Source organism: Homo sapiens, chromosome 3 (assembly GCF_000001405.40).
Source record: "Homo sapiens chromosome 3, GRCh38.p14 Primary Assembly".
Lineage (NCBI taxonomy): Eukaryota > Metazoa > Chordata > Mammalia > Primates > Hominidae > Homo > Homo sapiens.
The window spans coordinates 63,533,809-63,549,761 of NC_000003.12; the positions used below are offsets into that span (position 1 = coordinate 63,533,809).

At 36.7% G+C, this 15,953-nt stretch overlaps 1 protein-coding gene, 1 long non-coding RNA gene and 1 pseudogene across 5 annotated transcripts in view; 2 read left to right on the forward strand and 1 right to left on the reverse strand.

Annotated features, from left to right (window-relative positions):
- The window catches only part of SYNPR (synaptoporin), a 416,321-nt gene that overhangs the window by 333,205 nt on the left and 67,163 nt on the right, over positions 1-15,953 (forward strand). The window lies entirely within an intron of this gene.
- SYNPR-AS1 (SYNPR antisense RNA 1) overlaps positions 1-15,953 on the reverse strand; it is a 126,456-nt gene that overhangs the window by 110,213 nt on the left and 290 nt on the right. The gene's annotated exons all lie outside the window — the stretch shown is intronic.
- On the forward strand, positions 11,632-11,712 carry RNA5SP134 (RNA, 5S ribosomal pseudogene 134; annotated as a pseudogene).

Here is a 15,953-nt window from a genome sequence, read left to right on the forward strand (position 1 = left end):
TGGCTATCGAATAGACCCTTCCATAAAAGAAATGCAGTCTCTCCAAGAGATGTGATTTCCCAAAAGGAAATCAAGGTGCCATTAACAAAAGAAGAGAGATTGAGTGTTTTGGCAACCAAAGCACTGATAATGTTGCTACTGTCGATGACAGTATTCCCTTGGAAAATATCCAAATTAGAAAACTACTTTAAGGACCAGAACACTCTTACAGCTAGTAGGAAATATGTGACCCTAGAAACTTGTATTTAAATAGATCCAACTTGAAGTTCAAGTACAACACATTTAGACAAATACTATCAAATAGCTTGTCCACCATTGATGTTGTTCATGTATGTCAGGGCTTTATTACCTTGTTAAATTGCTTAGAAAGCCATGTTTTCTAATAGAAAAAAAAGACCAAATAAATCCCAGAAGAAGTCATCAAATAATGGCTAAATCTGAAACTGGAGTTGATGAGAACATTAAGGTAACTGAATTTCTGTCAACATTTTTGTGCTTTCTCATGTGGGTACAGAACCAAGTTATAGCTAGAAGAAAAAATGAATAAACTGGTTTTGTTTAGTGAAATTGTAGAAGTTCTAGAAATTACATTTTTTCTCATTTGCAATATCTCACTTTAAAAATTAACACATAAAAGTCACATTTTGTCAGCAGATATTTATTGTACCTCTCTTACTAATGCTAATCATTTAAGGTTTTTAAGTGCTTCTGTGTATCAGATACTCTGCTAAGATCTTTACCTACATTTCTCATTTAATTTATAAGAACCTGTCAGTACAGTTAGTGTTGCTATAACAGAATAGCCGAGACTGAGTAGTCTATAAAGAAAAGAGGTTTATTTGGCTTACAGTTCTAGTGGCTAGAAAATGCAAGATTGGACATTTGCATCTGGTAAGGGCTTCAGGCTGCTCCAGCTCACGGTTGAAAGCAGAAGGGGACCACTGTGTATGATGAGGTAACGTGGTGACAGAGGATGCAAAAGTTGGAGAAGGTCAGGCTCTTTTTAACAACCAGCTCTCATGGGAACTAATAGAGTGAGAACTCACTCATCCCCTCTCTCCCCAGGGTGAGAAAATGAGTAATCTATTCATAAGGAATCCACCCCCATAACCCCAGCACCTTCCACCAGGCCCACCTCCCAACATTGCCACATTGGGTATCAAATTACAATATGAAAGTGAAGGGGACAAACAGCCAATCATATCAGAACCCAATGAGAGTAGTTACTGTCAGTATTAGGAAACTAGGGATCAAACAAATTAAGTAACTTGCCTATGGTTCCACAGCTGATAAGTAGCAGAATTAAAGTAAAGAAAATAATTGCATGGAAAATAAATACACTCTGCATACATGCATACATACAATTACAGATGTGGTTAATTACTTTAGTAATTATTTTCTGAAGTAATTAAATTACTTATCCTTACAAAGAACAATTCCTCAATAAATATATATTAAAGGCAGGAATTTATATTGTGATACTAAAAATATGACTTCCAAGAAATTTTTTGTGGATAGGAAAAAAGATCATCAGCATAAAAGGCCTTTTGATATAGACTACAATAACCTGTGATTCCTTCTACTGACTCTGAAAATGATTTTCCGTTGTTTTAGTAGGACTACATACAGAAGAAAAAAGAACTGATTAATATTTTTTACCCTTGTGTCTATTTGCTCTGGAACACCTTATTAATAGAGATGGTGGAATGTATTTCTCTAACATTAAATAAAATCTAGGTAATCAAGACAGCATAGTATTGGCATAAGGATAGACATATAGACCAATGGAGAAGAACTGGTAGTCCATAAATAAAACTTTACACTTATAATCAAATGATTTTTGATAAGAGTACAAGGCATATTAATGGAGAAAAAAATAGTCTTTTCAACAAAAGGTGCTGAGACAACTGAATATCCACATGCAAAAAAAAAAAAATGAAGTTGGCGCCCTACCTCATACCATTTACAAAAATTAACTCATAATGGAACATAGACCATGTAAGAGCTAAAACTACAGAACACTTAGAAGAAAATATAGGAGTAAATTTTTATGACCTTGGGCTAGGCAATCATTTCTTAGATAATGGTATCAAAGGTATAGACAACCACAAAAAAATAGATAAACTGGATTTCATCACAAATTTTAAAAACATTTGTATTTTAAAGGACTCTATCAGCCAGGTGCAGTAGTTCATGCCTGTAACCCCAGCACTTTGGGAGGCTGAGATGGGAGAATCACTTGAGGCCAAAAATTCGAGACCAGCCTGCTCAACATAAGGAAACCCTCATCTCTACAAAAAATAAAATAAAAATTTTAAAAATTTAAGGAATGAAAAAACTTTTACAAAGTAATTCATCAAGAAAGTGAATAAACCATCTACAGAATGGAAGACAAATTATGCAAATAATAAATCCAAAAAGGAACTTACATCCAGAATATATGAAGAATTCTTATAACTTAACAATAAAAAGATGACCAGTTTTAAAATGGGCAAAGAACTTGAGTAGACATTCATCCAAGAAGATATACAAATAGCCAAAAAGCACATTAAAAGGTGCTCAGCATCATTACTCATTAGGGAAATGCAAATCAAAACTACACTATTTCAGCCTCCGTGAGATGGTTAAAATAAAAAACACAGACAATAACAAGTATTGACAAGGCTGTGGAAAAACTGAATTTCTCTTACATTGCTAGTGGGATTGTAAAATTGTAAAACCACTTTGGAAAACAGTTTGGCAGTTCCTCCAAATGTTAAACATATGATTATGTTACCACTAAACTGTATGATCTAGCAATTCCACTCCTAAGTATATCACCTATGAGAAGTGAAAATATATGTCCACACAAAAATCTGTACGTGAATGTTCCTAGCAGCTTTATTTATAATAGCTCAAAATGGAAACAACTCAAATATCTACCAATTGATGAATGAATTTTTTAAAGGTGATATAGCTATACAATGGAATATTATTTAGCAATATAAAAGGAACAAAGTACTGATACATGCAACAACATGGATAAACCTTCAAAACATCATGCTAAGTAAAATATGCCAGTCCGTTTCTATAAAATTTTCAGAATATGCAAATACATAGAAACAAAGTAGATTAGAATTTCCAGGGCTGAGGGATGAATGAATGGGATACGACTGCTAATAGGTATGAGGCTTCTTTTTGGGGAAATGAAAATGTTCTGAAATTAGATAGTATGTAGGTTACTCTGTAAATATACTAAAACTCTGTGAATACATGAAACTATGAATATATGATAGCTTACTGAAACGTGCACTTTAAAAGGGTGACGATATGTTAATTTTATCTCCATAAAGCTATTACTTAAAAAAAAATTAGGGTCAGTCGTCCTTTCTCTGAGATGGTAAACTTGCAAAATGACTTGTACCTCCCCAAACTTGCCATTTTCAGACTCTTTTATAACTATGTACACACTCTACCCTTTGTCTACAAACTTCTACCTACTTTCCCATCTCACTTCAACCCCTTTCGTGCCCTGCAAATTTCTTATTCTTCCTTCATGAGTTGGCTCAGATTTTATCTCTACTAGAAAATCTCTCTGAATCCTTAGTTCAACGTTGAATTGCATTTATCTGAAGGTCCAGCTGAACCATACAGACATCTTTATTCTGGCACAAATCATACTCCATGGTAATCTTCTGTTTATGTGTCAGTCTTTCATTAGTGTATAAGCTTCTTGAAGCATTTGTCTTTGTGTTTTGAGGTCTGGCACAGTGCCTGGCACCTGGTGGCAATTAGAAATGTTTACTGAAGAAATGAATGAATGAATGCTTAAAGGCAGAAAAATGAACAAAATAATATCTTCTGGTGGAAAGATTCTACGATGTCAGGATATATTCTAATCACAGAAAGTGTCTTAGAGTTCAGCCTTAAATACTTTCATATGTTGAATTCAAATTACCTGTGGAAATCCATGCTACAATTAATAAATATTTCCCTTCTAAATGTGAGCTTTTAAGTCAGTCCTCAAGCGACCCAGGGTAAGCTGAGCTTCCTAAGAAGAATAAGAAATTCTTCTTGCTCTGTGGAATATTCTTGTACAACTAACCATCTAGATTACAGGATCCTAAAACTTTTCTTTGGGACATCTACCCCTGGTTGTCAATAAACCTGAGAAAGTTAAGAGTTGAATCATGAATCTATTGCCATAGGACATACAGCCTCTGGTGGATAAATTTAACCCAGATTACTGTCTTTCCAAAACAATATTTCCTTGCCCTACCACTTAAGCACACTGTGGTTTGAAACATTTGAATGGGATTATCACATAGACAAAAAGGATTAATAATTTACAATGACATTTGATCGTGAGGCTTTTTTGATGCACAAATCCAAGTATTTAAGAAGCTGATGGCATCCTACTAGAGATAAGAAACCACTATAAGTAAACAAAACAAACCCTGAACAACTGCCTTCACAGAGCTTACATTATAGCAGAAGAGATATGTGGGAAAATAATTTCAAGCAGAGAGAATAATTAATGTAATGGTGAGAATACGTTTTGTGAATGGAAGGAGGCCAAAGTGCTGGGATATAGTGAACATTACACAGCAGTTGATGATAATTAATATTATTCTCGGTGGAGTCAGAACTGTTGGTCACAATTCTTCCTCCCCTTCCTCCAACTAGTATTTTGCAAAGCCACCTTTGCCGTGATCTCATAAAAACAGTATATTTATCTGCCCCATTGATTTTGGGCTTGGTAAGTGACTTGTTTTGATTAATAGAAAGTGGGCAGAAGTGATAGGATGTCATTTCCCACATGAGGCCTTAATAAGCATTGCATGTTTCTGCTTGCCATCCTGTGCCCCCACCATCAGCAAGAGAAGGCTTCCTCCACGTGGAGGGATCCCTCTTCATCCTGAGTCCTAGAATGGACATGCATGAAGCAGAGCCACTTCAACCAACCCATAAGCATAAGAGCAAGAATAGATGGTGGTGGTTTTGAACCACTGAGTTTGGAGGTGGTTAATTACACTGCATTATCATGGCAATAGCTAACTGATATAATCTTCAATATGAATCTCACACATTATTAATATATCTTTCTATGTCTTACTTTTTTAAATATGATTTTATTGTTTGTATAGTCTATAGTAACCAAATCATCCCTGGGAATGATAAAAACAAACAGGAGCCTAGCTAACTATATTCGGAAGAAATAAGCCTCACTTAACTAGATTCCTGATTTGCTCTCATCATTTGCTTAGTTTCAAGGAAGCAAAGGCCCTTTCTTTCTTCCCTTCTTCTGCTTTCACCTCTGCACCAGGACATCTGTTGTTTCAGTTTCAGTTTGAAGTTTTTGCATCACTGAAAAAAATATACAACTTTGTAGCTTACAGTTTATATTTTGGCATCTCTGTGTGTTAGTATTAGTCATTCAATAGATGGGTGATTCCACAACAAAGTAGAATCCATGAAGGGAGGTGTGAAGTTATTTTTATAAATAAACCCAATTTTTGGTGCATTTTCACAAGTTTTAATTCCTGGGCTCGAGTTTCTAAAGGAAGTTCAGGCTTTTATGCATGTGTGTCCCAAACTTGAACCTAACAGGAATGCAAATAGAAAATTAATCTCATCAGACATATCATAGAACTTCCTTCTCTGGTATCTAAATACTAAAACTGTCCTCAAAACATCAGTTATTCAGCAAGTAGTTATTGAATGTAGATCCTCAAAACATGCCAAGCAATACAGAGCCACAAAAGAAGGGTATGGTCCTTGCCCACAGTGAAAATATCCTGAGTAACAACTTTAAAAATGGAGACTGCTCTGAGCTATCTTAATTTGGGTTTCCCTAAGGCAGACCTTAAAACAAAGACCTAGGCACAAGGAGCCTTTATAGGAGGTGATTTCAGAAAGCACAAGAAAGACATGGGGTAAGCGAGACAGAGAAGGGAGCAAGCCAGTAAAGTTTGCATTAATGAGCAGGTTATCACTGTGGGCAACTGGGGCTCAGTCCTGCTGGGATCCTCTGAGAAACTGTATGGAACACACCCAAGAATCCCCGGACAGAGGGCAGAGAGGCTGGGCCATCTACCCACTGACTTCCACCCTCCAGGGTTTTAGGGCTGAATCCAAAAATGTTAACTTTCCCACACTTCCAGCTGTGCCTGCTTGCAGCATAGTAAATTTGCTTGGATAGAGGAAGGCCCTCAAACAGAAAAAAGAGCTTAATGTAGGAGGCATATCAATATCTACAGGAGCTACCACATGTGTCTGCTAGAGGAGTACGGCTATTTATTTCATCAGTTATAATAATAGTATTTATTAAACACTTATTATGTGCCAGGCATGGTGCTAAGCTTTTTACAGACACCTTATTATTTTATTCCTTATGAAGTAGGTCATGTTATTATCACCTTATGAAGTAGGTCATGTTATTATCACCTTAATTATTAGGTAGCAAACAGTATATTAAAGATTGTGTTTAATTATCATCTTCTATAGACAAAGAAATTAAGAAATTAGCTCATGTGACACAGCAAGGAAGTGGTGGAGATTTTAACGTGAGTAGTCTGAACATAGAGCCATGGTCTAAGCAACACTTTACTACTGAAGGGGCAAGGTGCAGAAAACAAGGTCCTCAAAGTTGGGGAAAATAATGAATCATACAATCCTCAGGGAAGGCTTCGTGGAGGAAATATACTCGAGTAGTACTTTGAGATTGATAAAATGGAGACATGCAGAAAAAGAAACGAGCCTCTGCATGTTAAGGAAGGAAAAAGAGGGAAGGGGAAATGGTTGTAACATAATGGGCATGAATTCAATAAAATGTCCACCTCAGGACATACACAGAGTTGGCCCTTGCTATGCAGTAAGGCATATACAATATTGTGTATAACTCTATGTTCACTAGACAAATATGTATTGGGCATCTACTTCATACTTGGCAAGATTTTTTTTAAAAGACCCAGACATGATTTGCTAGAGGAGAGACACATACAGAAGACATGTGTTATTTCCGTTTTTTAGTATTGAACCCTTCTTTTTAATGAAGAACCCATTCAGTGAGGTTCATGTGAAATTTCACCTCCTATCACTCCTACACACACACACACACACACACACACAATCCCCCCCCCAACACACACACACACACACACACACACACACATATACATAGTACCTGACTGCAGCCTGGCCAATTAGTACATCTATTTCCCTGGCCTTGGTGATTGTTTTTGAGATGAACATGTGACCTAATTTGAAGTTTTTCTCTTGGAGCTGGGAGAACGATGGCCTCTGCTAGTCAGGGCTACTGAGCTGGTAAGTTGCGAATGTCAGACTTCCATTTTGCCCACCGCAGAGAGAAAGAATAAAACCAAGCAGAGGCAGGCAGCTTTAAGGAATTAAGGAAGAGACAGCCAGTGTACTGCCAATTCTTTTTTTTTTTTTTACCTCTTGGACTCAGTCTTGACAATAAACAAGAGACACATCTTACCTCAAATTTCTCAGAAGACATTCCTCTAATTGCACATGGTAGAAGGGAGTTTGATTAGGTAACCAAATTTCATTTTCTTAACATGGCTTCTTATAAGACTCAACCAACCACAGTTTCAGAATTACAATCTATTGACCTTAGTCATTCTCCGGGACAGCAAAATGCACCAGTTCTTTCTATTGACCTGAGTTATCACAGGCCATCAGACCCACTGAATAGTAGGGGGAGTTCTGGAATAGTTACATAGATTTAAGATGGAAATCTTAACTTAGGGTGAATTTTTTCTTCATTAAAGGAGCCAATCTATTGCGTACTAAATCCTGCTAATATAATCCTCTTTTTATAAAATTATTTCCCTTCCCACTCACTCACTTAGTCTTCTTTAGTTCATATTCCTCGGCTTGAAATCCAGACTATGAATATTGGCATAGGCTGCCCACATGTGAAATTTCTTTCACAAGGTTTAGGAGCCCAGAGAAGCTAAACATAGAAAAAGCAAAACTAAAATTAATTTCAGAAAAGAATGCTTTTCAATCATGCAGTATCCAGTGTCCTGATATAAAACAACTGTCTTCTCAAGAGGGCACTTGGGATGAAAATAACAAGCTAAAAATAGAGGCACGAGGTAGCAGCAAAAAGAGGAAAGACAGAGAAGAAATGGATTTTATCAAACTTTGAGGTGCCAGTGGGTATTTCCACAGCTGATGCTTATTCCAAATAAAAGTTATATGAGCCATTGTTTTATCTGAGATGCTCCAGTCACTTATAAAGAAGCTAGGTGAAAGTCAACTGAATCAATAAAAATTTTGAGCACCAAATGTGCCAGTCACTGTGCTGGGCGCTAGAGACACAGTAAGAAACTAGAATCTCGTTCTCTCTCTTTATCCCCATGTTTTCTTCTGTATTGGCCTCATTATTTTGGCATAGAATTGAGTATACATGCCTTAGATCCTCAAGCGCAGTGGCTAAAACATGATAATTGATCAGATCTACTTCTGAGTTTCAAACCTGAAAAGCAAGAAACTGTTCAGAAAATAAACAATACATACAGGTAAGCAAAAACATCAGATGCCCCCTTCGTTGGGGATACTAAGATAAGTAACACTGCTCGCAAATTTCGTGTTGTAAATTCCCCATATTAAGCCTCAGTCTCTGACTTCCCTTTAGGAATGAGATAAAGGATTGGAGAGGTAATGTTTATACTGAGTAATCACTCCAGTGGGCTGTCTAAGTCTGACCTCTATTTTCCTACCTCTAGCCTGAGAAATCTGGAGAAGTAAAATGGTCAAAGACCAAGGAGCATTTATAACTTTAGACAGGGCTCCTCTCTGAGTCAGGCATGGACAATCAGTTGAATAGAGAATATCTAGGCAGTTTTAGTTTGGATAAAAGAGCATTTTATTCAGTACTCACTGAGGACAGAGAGCACCTGCCATATACTTTTTGAATGATGATGACAATAAAAACTATTGCTTAGTGTGATGACTTGCATATAGGAGATACTCAGTAAATACCTGCTAAGTGAAAAGAAATACCTATGTAAAATGGTGAATCAGGCCATCTATCCCATATTACCTGAATTACCAAAAGTGGGCATAAGTAAAATGAGGTAATTTGAGGGAAGTCAAAATTTATCATCTAGATCAGCAGTTCTCAAATGTGAGGTTTCAAGACCCCTCCACATTTTTTAAATGATTAAGGACCACAAAGAGCTTTTTATTTTTGTAGATTATATCCATAGATATTTATCATATTAGAAATCATAACTAATAAATTTATTAAATACAAAAATATGCAAATGCACATTCCATGAACTGTCAGAATAATAGCTGCTTCTTACATCATCTAGCTTCTGTAAAACTCCACTATACACTTGTGAGAAAGTGAGAGTAAAATGACAAACAACATCTTAGTGTTATCATGAAAATAATTTTGATCTAATGCATCCCTCGAAAGAGTTTCAGACATTCCAAACTAGAGTTTGAGGATCTCTGATTTGGAGTTGTCAGAAGCATTAAGAATTTCTAGGAAGCCAAACAAAATTATTGAATATTAAATTACTTGTAAGACTTATTTGTAGCATATAGTCACATGATTTAGACATTGATTTTTAATCATCAGGAGAGGAAGTTTAATTTAGCTTCTGTTCTATTTAAATATTCTGTTAATCAAGAGGAAAATTATCAGTAGAAGATAGGTCTTAATCTGTGGGTGAAAGGAATTGCTTGCTGTTTTGGTTATTTTGTTTTTGTTTTTGTTTTTGAGCCCTTTCCAATAATTAAATACCATTTTCTTTTACAAAGACTTTTTTGACCCTTCTATGACTAGATCAGTGTCATTGACCTCATTAAAAAGTCCAGTCTTTCCTATCAAACCCTTGCTAGACTTTGTATAAAACTGCATTTCATTGAAAAAGTGTCCAAATTGGGGTAATTTATCTGGAGAAAGAAGTTCAGGACACTGGCTTGGATAAGCAGGAAGTAGCCCTCGTCCCCTACCCTTCCTCAATGCCCTAGACACTGTACTTGACTAATTGCTTTTCACTCTCTAGAATTTACTTCACTAAACATCACCTTCCCTTATGTAGCTGGCCATGGACAATATGGAGGTTAATCCAAAGACCTTGGGAATAAGGTGGGTGGCGGGGCGTTATTCTAGTAAGAGAAAGAAGCAAGTGGGCATGATGGTAGCAAAGGAGTGGCCATGATCCAGGTGACGTCCATCTTTGTGGGCCAGGTTAAGGGGTTTGAATATGACTAAGTACAAGAGGAAACCGTTGGAGAAGAGCTTTACACAGAGGAGTGGCATGCTCTGATTTATGCTTTTGAAAGATACCTGGTTGCTGTGCGGAAAATGAATTCTTACATGTCATGTTACAAATACAGCTTGAAGATTGTGTGATTAATCTCCCAGTCACCTGCAAAGCATTGGAGACACGGGTGACATTATATGTGCTGACGATAAAGGGTACTTTTCCTATCCCCAGCTGATAAATACGTTCAACAAACTGTTCCTAGTTAAATAAAATGTACAATGTTTTCTTGTGTCTTAGACATTTTCTCAAAAAGGATTTGTTTATTTATGGTGATATTAATCACTAAAGAATTGGAAATTTACAATTCCAAAGCCGACAGGATAATACCTTTTCAGTGGTTTAAAGGAGATTGTATTTTGTTCTATATGCATAAGTGATTACTATTTATTTCATTATAATCTGGCATATATATTGAATTTCCTACCCAGCAAGAGTTCTGTTAAGTTGCCTACCCTGAGCATTTAGTGAAGCCAGTTATTACATGAATAATGAAATGACAGTAAGCAATAACAGAAAATGACCAAATAACTGCTTGATTGGGGGACTTTTTGACAGAACTGTATAGTAATAGAATATGCCTGTTTCCAGTTCTTTAAAATCTACTTTCTAAAAGAGTTTGGATTTTTAAAATCAACTTTAGTAATCAGACTTACACCTTTAATTGTGAGCTTTTGAAACTCCTTACAGTTCACATATTATAGCACCTGTAATTGTCAATTACATTCACGCACCATGACAAGTACAATATACTCCATCATCTCATTCAAACTTCACACACACACACACACAATCCTATGAATATGGTGCTTTTATTTCTTCCATTTTGCAGATGAGAAATCTGAAGCTCAGAAACACATGAGACTCGTCCAAGGTCAAATAGCTGAATATTGACAGAGATGCTTTATATTGCCTTTGATTTAGGGGAAAAAAAAAAAACATGTGAAAGGGTAGCGTTCCATTGGACACAAAATGGAGACAAATAGAAGTGAAAGGGTGCTGGAAATAACATTTCATTGCTGGGACTGATACTTGAATATTCGTTACTATGTCGCCATTGGGTGTGAGACTAGATGAGGTAAGTAATGGGTAGAGGGAGGAATTGTCAACTGGTTTTATCATGTTGGACAAAATGTAAAATAGTCTCAATGAAACTTTTAGAACCCAGCTCTTATTTCCATTTTCAGCACTAGGTCACCAAAGTGATGGGGTTTAGTAAATCTTAACATTTTGGGAATTAAGAAACCTAATAAGAATCTAACAAAACTTATGTAACATGACCCAGAGTATATAAATTCAAAATGTCCACTAGCGTGAGGCTATTTAGAAAATTATTATAGTCTACAGCCATACCACCCTGAACACGCCCTGATCTCAGAAGCTAAACAGGGTCGGGCCTGGTTAGTACTTGGATGGGGGAAAATTATTATAGAACCTTCACTACCTAACATACAGAACAGCACAATATGATAATTCATAGTCCTGTACATATATTATATGACTGTTAAAAAAAATAAGGCAGATCCTCCTTGAAAAAGTAAGGCATGTACAGGTCATATTATTAGGTAGCAAACAGTATATTAAAGATTGTGTTTAATTTCAGTGTTTTAAGTTGTTAATATTGGAGATTAAATTATGAAGAACCTTACCTTTTCCTCCTGTAAACATTCCTGTATTGGTTGAATTTTTATAAATAGCACGTTTTGACTGAATTAATGATTAAAATCAATTTGACCTAAATTCTAAACAAAAGGTCAGATTTCTGCCACCTTCCTGTATGTTTCTAAATGTTATAAATATCTTTTAATCAAAGACTTTAAATTGTCTATTCCTGATACATTTCTATACTAACCGAATAAAATAGATGAATAAGCCGTTGTCAACCGGACATTCAAACTTTTTAAAAACCAACTCTAGGACTGTTTTTGTTTCACAATTCACTTGGGTAGAGTACCACAGCTCAGGGAAAGCAAACGAGAGAAGAAAGGATTTTCCCTGAAATGTACAGATAACGACCTCAATATCTATTTTAATTTGACAACGTAGAGGCAGTCTGAGTTCTCTATTACTCAAATTCTATTTGAAGAGCCAAAATTAATAAATCATAGCTTAGTGAGCACAGCAATGCCTCTTTGCAAGTCACTGTAAGGGTTTCATAGGGTTTTACTTCCCTTTTACTCCAGATCATACCTTGGCCTTTGCAAACCATCCCTTTTTAATCACCTTAGAGTCCACAGTTTCATGTTGAAATGTCTATCTGTGTAAATCCAAACTGTAGGGAGGAGTGAAATTTGAAAAGATCCTGGCATATATATTCTTAAAACCACAATACACTTTCAATAAGTTGGATAAACATCTTTCTGGCACATGGAAATGGGAGCTACATGCTGGGGGTGAGGGGGGAACAGTAATTTTCCAGCCTTATCTTCACATGTCTGAGTACAATTATTAGTGTAGAAAAGAGTATTGTTTGCAGTAATCTTGATTGCATTTTCCAGTGTCTAGCTCACTCCCTGTGCTCGATATTTATTATTACCCTCCTTAAAATAAAAAAATCATTGTCTCTAATGGTAAAGTGGAGAGGACAAAAAATAATGAAAATTTCCTCTTATGAAAAAAAAAGTTCCTCCTATGGAGACAATAAACTTTAAGACACTTAATGCATAACCAAATCAAGGAGAAATACCTCTGTTATGTTGAAAAGCAGAAGTATAGCACTTTGTCTTTCACTTAGATTTTTTCTTTTTAAAGAAAATATTTTTAGCACGTGCATGCTGTTGTTGCAAGCCTTGGAGATGAAACTGTTTTTGATTCAACCAAGGTTAGGAAAGAAATGTCTAGGAAAATGATTCTGGCTGCCTGGAAAATGCCATTTATCCGAAGATATGGAGTTCATCTCTTGAGTCTGGCATATGGGAATGTAGGTACAGTCATCTCAATGTCCACTGACCTTCCTGGAAACAAATAGCATCACTGGAATCCCTGAGGTTCTCCTAGAAAAATGTGTGTGTACTAGATCGTTTTATATTTCTGTTTGCTTTGATATTGGATAAATTCTAGTAATGACCCTTTTTCTCAATAAAGATATCTTAGATAGATTGATCCTTGTCACCTTCCACAAGTGAGTCTTACATTTCAGATCTACTCTCTCTATTCCCCCTTTGCAAACTGAAGACATCAAACTTTTTCTTAACTTAAGCAACCTGAGTCCAATTGCTGGAGTCTTCTCTCAGTTCTCACCATGATGTGCATATTTTCCAGGCCTGTTCTCAGTCCCTACTTCGAATTTGTCTGCCTTTTCTACCCCAAATAGATCCTAAACCTGAGACTCTGGGAAGGCAGACTCTCTCCCCACATTTTGAGGACAGCGTAATGTGCCTTGTGAGGTGCTGGTGGCATAAAGGAGAATCTTATTCCAATCAACGTGAGTTTTTAGGCCCAGTTTGGAATCACCCATGAGCCAGTGGAGCAATGGAACAATGGCCGCAGTTCCCATATATTCATCCTATGAGAACTGTCCTATGGAGAAAGGACTGAAAGTAACAAGTGAGAGTCAGTTGCTAGAAGGCCATTAGAAAAGCCCTCAATGGTGCAAGAAGTCACCAAATATGTGATTGATACAAACAATTGATAACATTGCACTGTTTTTGTATGGGAGGTTAAGAGCAAGAGCTTTGGGGTCATACGGACTCCATTTCTCGGCCCTACTTCAAAAAGTCTCCTTGCTCCTAAAATTAACATGCAATAACTTAATAGTAATCACTTGATCAAATTTGAATGTTTCAGTGAGATAACAGACAAAAACATTTGGCATGGTGCCTGGGCTAGTGTATGCTCAATAAATGTCAATCATTGATTGGCATCCAGCAGTAGAAGTGAAATCACCATCATCATTCTAAATAGCATCACCGAATACCATGCTTCAGGTACAGTAAGAAAACCAGTGGAAGTAACAGAGAAGGATTTGTCTTTTTCAACCTTCCAGATAATCTGCACTCTCATTCCCCATAGTTCATTGTCTCCCCATCTGTTTCTAATGACTGGCACATGAAGTTCAATAAATCTTTACTGAATGAATGAATGACTTGAGCATAATGGAGAAGTCAGTGGCTTGGAAAACGTGGAAATGAAATTTGGGTCATAAGTAAAACAACTAAGAGCTGGTATCAGAAAGCCTGAGTGCTAAGTTTTCCACTACTCTGTGCCAACAGGTGATCTTTAGTGATTCTTTTGAGATAGCTGAGCTCCAACTTCCCTATCTGCATAATGTTGGGGGGCTACTTGGGGGGAAAAATGAGATGCAGTGTGTGAAAGTGCTACATAAATTTTCAGGATTTTGTAGTGGTTTATGTTGTGAATCACATAAGCTGAGTAAGTAAGAGTGTATGTGTGCATCTGTAAATGCACACACAAACACACTTATTACACACATACACATACATATGGCTAGCTAAAGACAACGCAATCTAAAAGCAGATAAGTGCCAATATTTCATATAGGGAAGAGAGGGATAAAAATGGAGCAAAAGGATTAAAGTTCCTGTCGACTGGTAAACAGAATTGAAACAGGGCCTATCAAAAATAATCACGTAAAGAGAAAACGTACTCAGCACTACAATTTGCCAATTGCCCTCTGATCTTGAATTCCAGCTACCAGAAATTCAATGACAGCAGCCTGCTCCCCCACACCTTAATCCTTCCCACATTTGCTCCTGGGCTGGATCACTGCCCTTGGGACATGTCATTTCTGTCTTGCACTGAACCACCGCCAAATGTATTGGTAGGAGCTTTAGTCCTGTTTCCTTCCACACCGGGTAAAAGGTTTTGTCAATAATTTCAAAGGTCTTATTATCAGATGACCATAATAGTGTGGTGCTACCTAAAGATAAATCTGTGCTTTGTTTTACCTAATGTCTCACTTTCTATTAAAAAATCACACCACAATTATCACAATTTCACAACATGGCATAGTCAGGTTCATTTACCCTTTACTTGTTTCTGAGGCAAATGTTAGAATAACCCAGGACAAGATTTGGAAATTAGCAAGTTTTTAATGGCTTTCTATCGGTCAGTCTACAGGGATTCAACTCTATCACTGCTGGGTACCTTGTACAATGCCTAATTCACATACTTCAAGGTGGTAGCAGAATGAACATTGGTTTAGAATCCTATTCAGTACAGACTATCAGTCTACCGTTAGATGAGATGGCACGGGAAAGCTGGTTGGGTCATTTGCTTACAAATATTCAGCTGGAAATCTAAGGATGCTGTAATTTTTAAAGAAGAGAGGCAGGTATGCGCAGTACTTGCCAGTGTAGGCTCCTTCTACTCTTCTTACATTCCTGACTCATCTCTGCCATCTTCTAGCCACATGACCTCAGGCAAGGTCATTATTCTTTCCAAGCCTCAGTTTCCTCCTCTGTAAAATGGTAACAGCAATCGTACCCACTGAAGAGAGTTGTTATGAGCATTAAATGAGATACAAGTAGGTAAAGAACCTAGCACAATGCCTAGGTTGAAAAATGTTGGTGGTTGTTATTACAAACATTTCTATCAATAAAGCAATGCCACTTGTCTTGCTCCAGTCCCCTGAAAGGATAGTTGCATTTAATATTACTCCAGACCCTACAAACGTAACTAAAAACTATGGGGACTCAATATT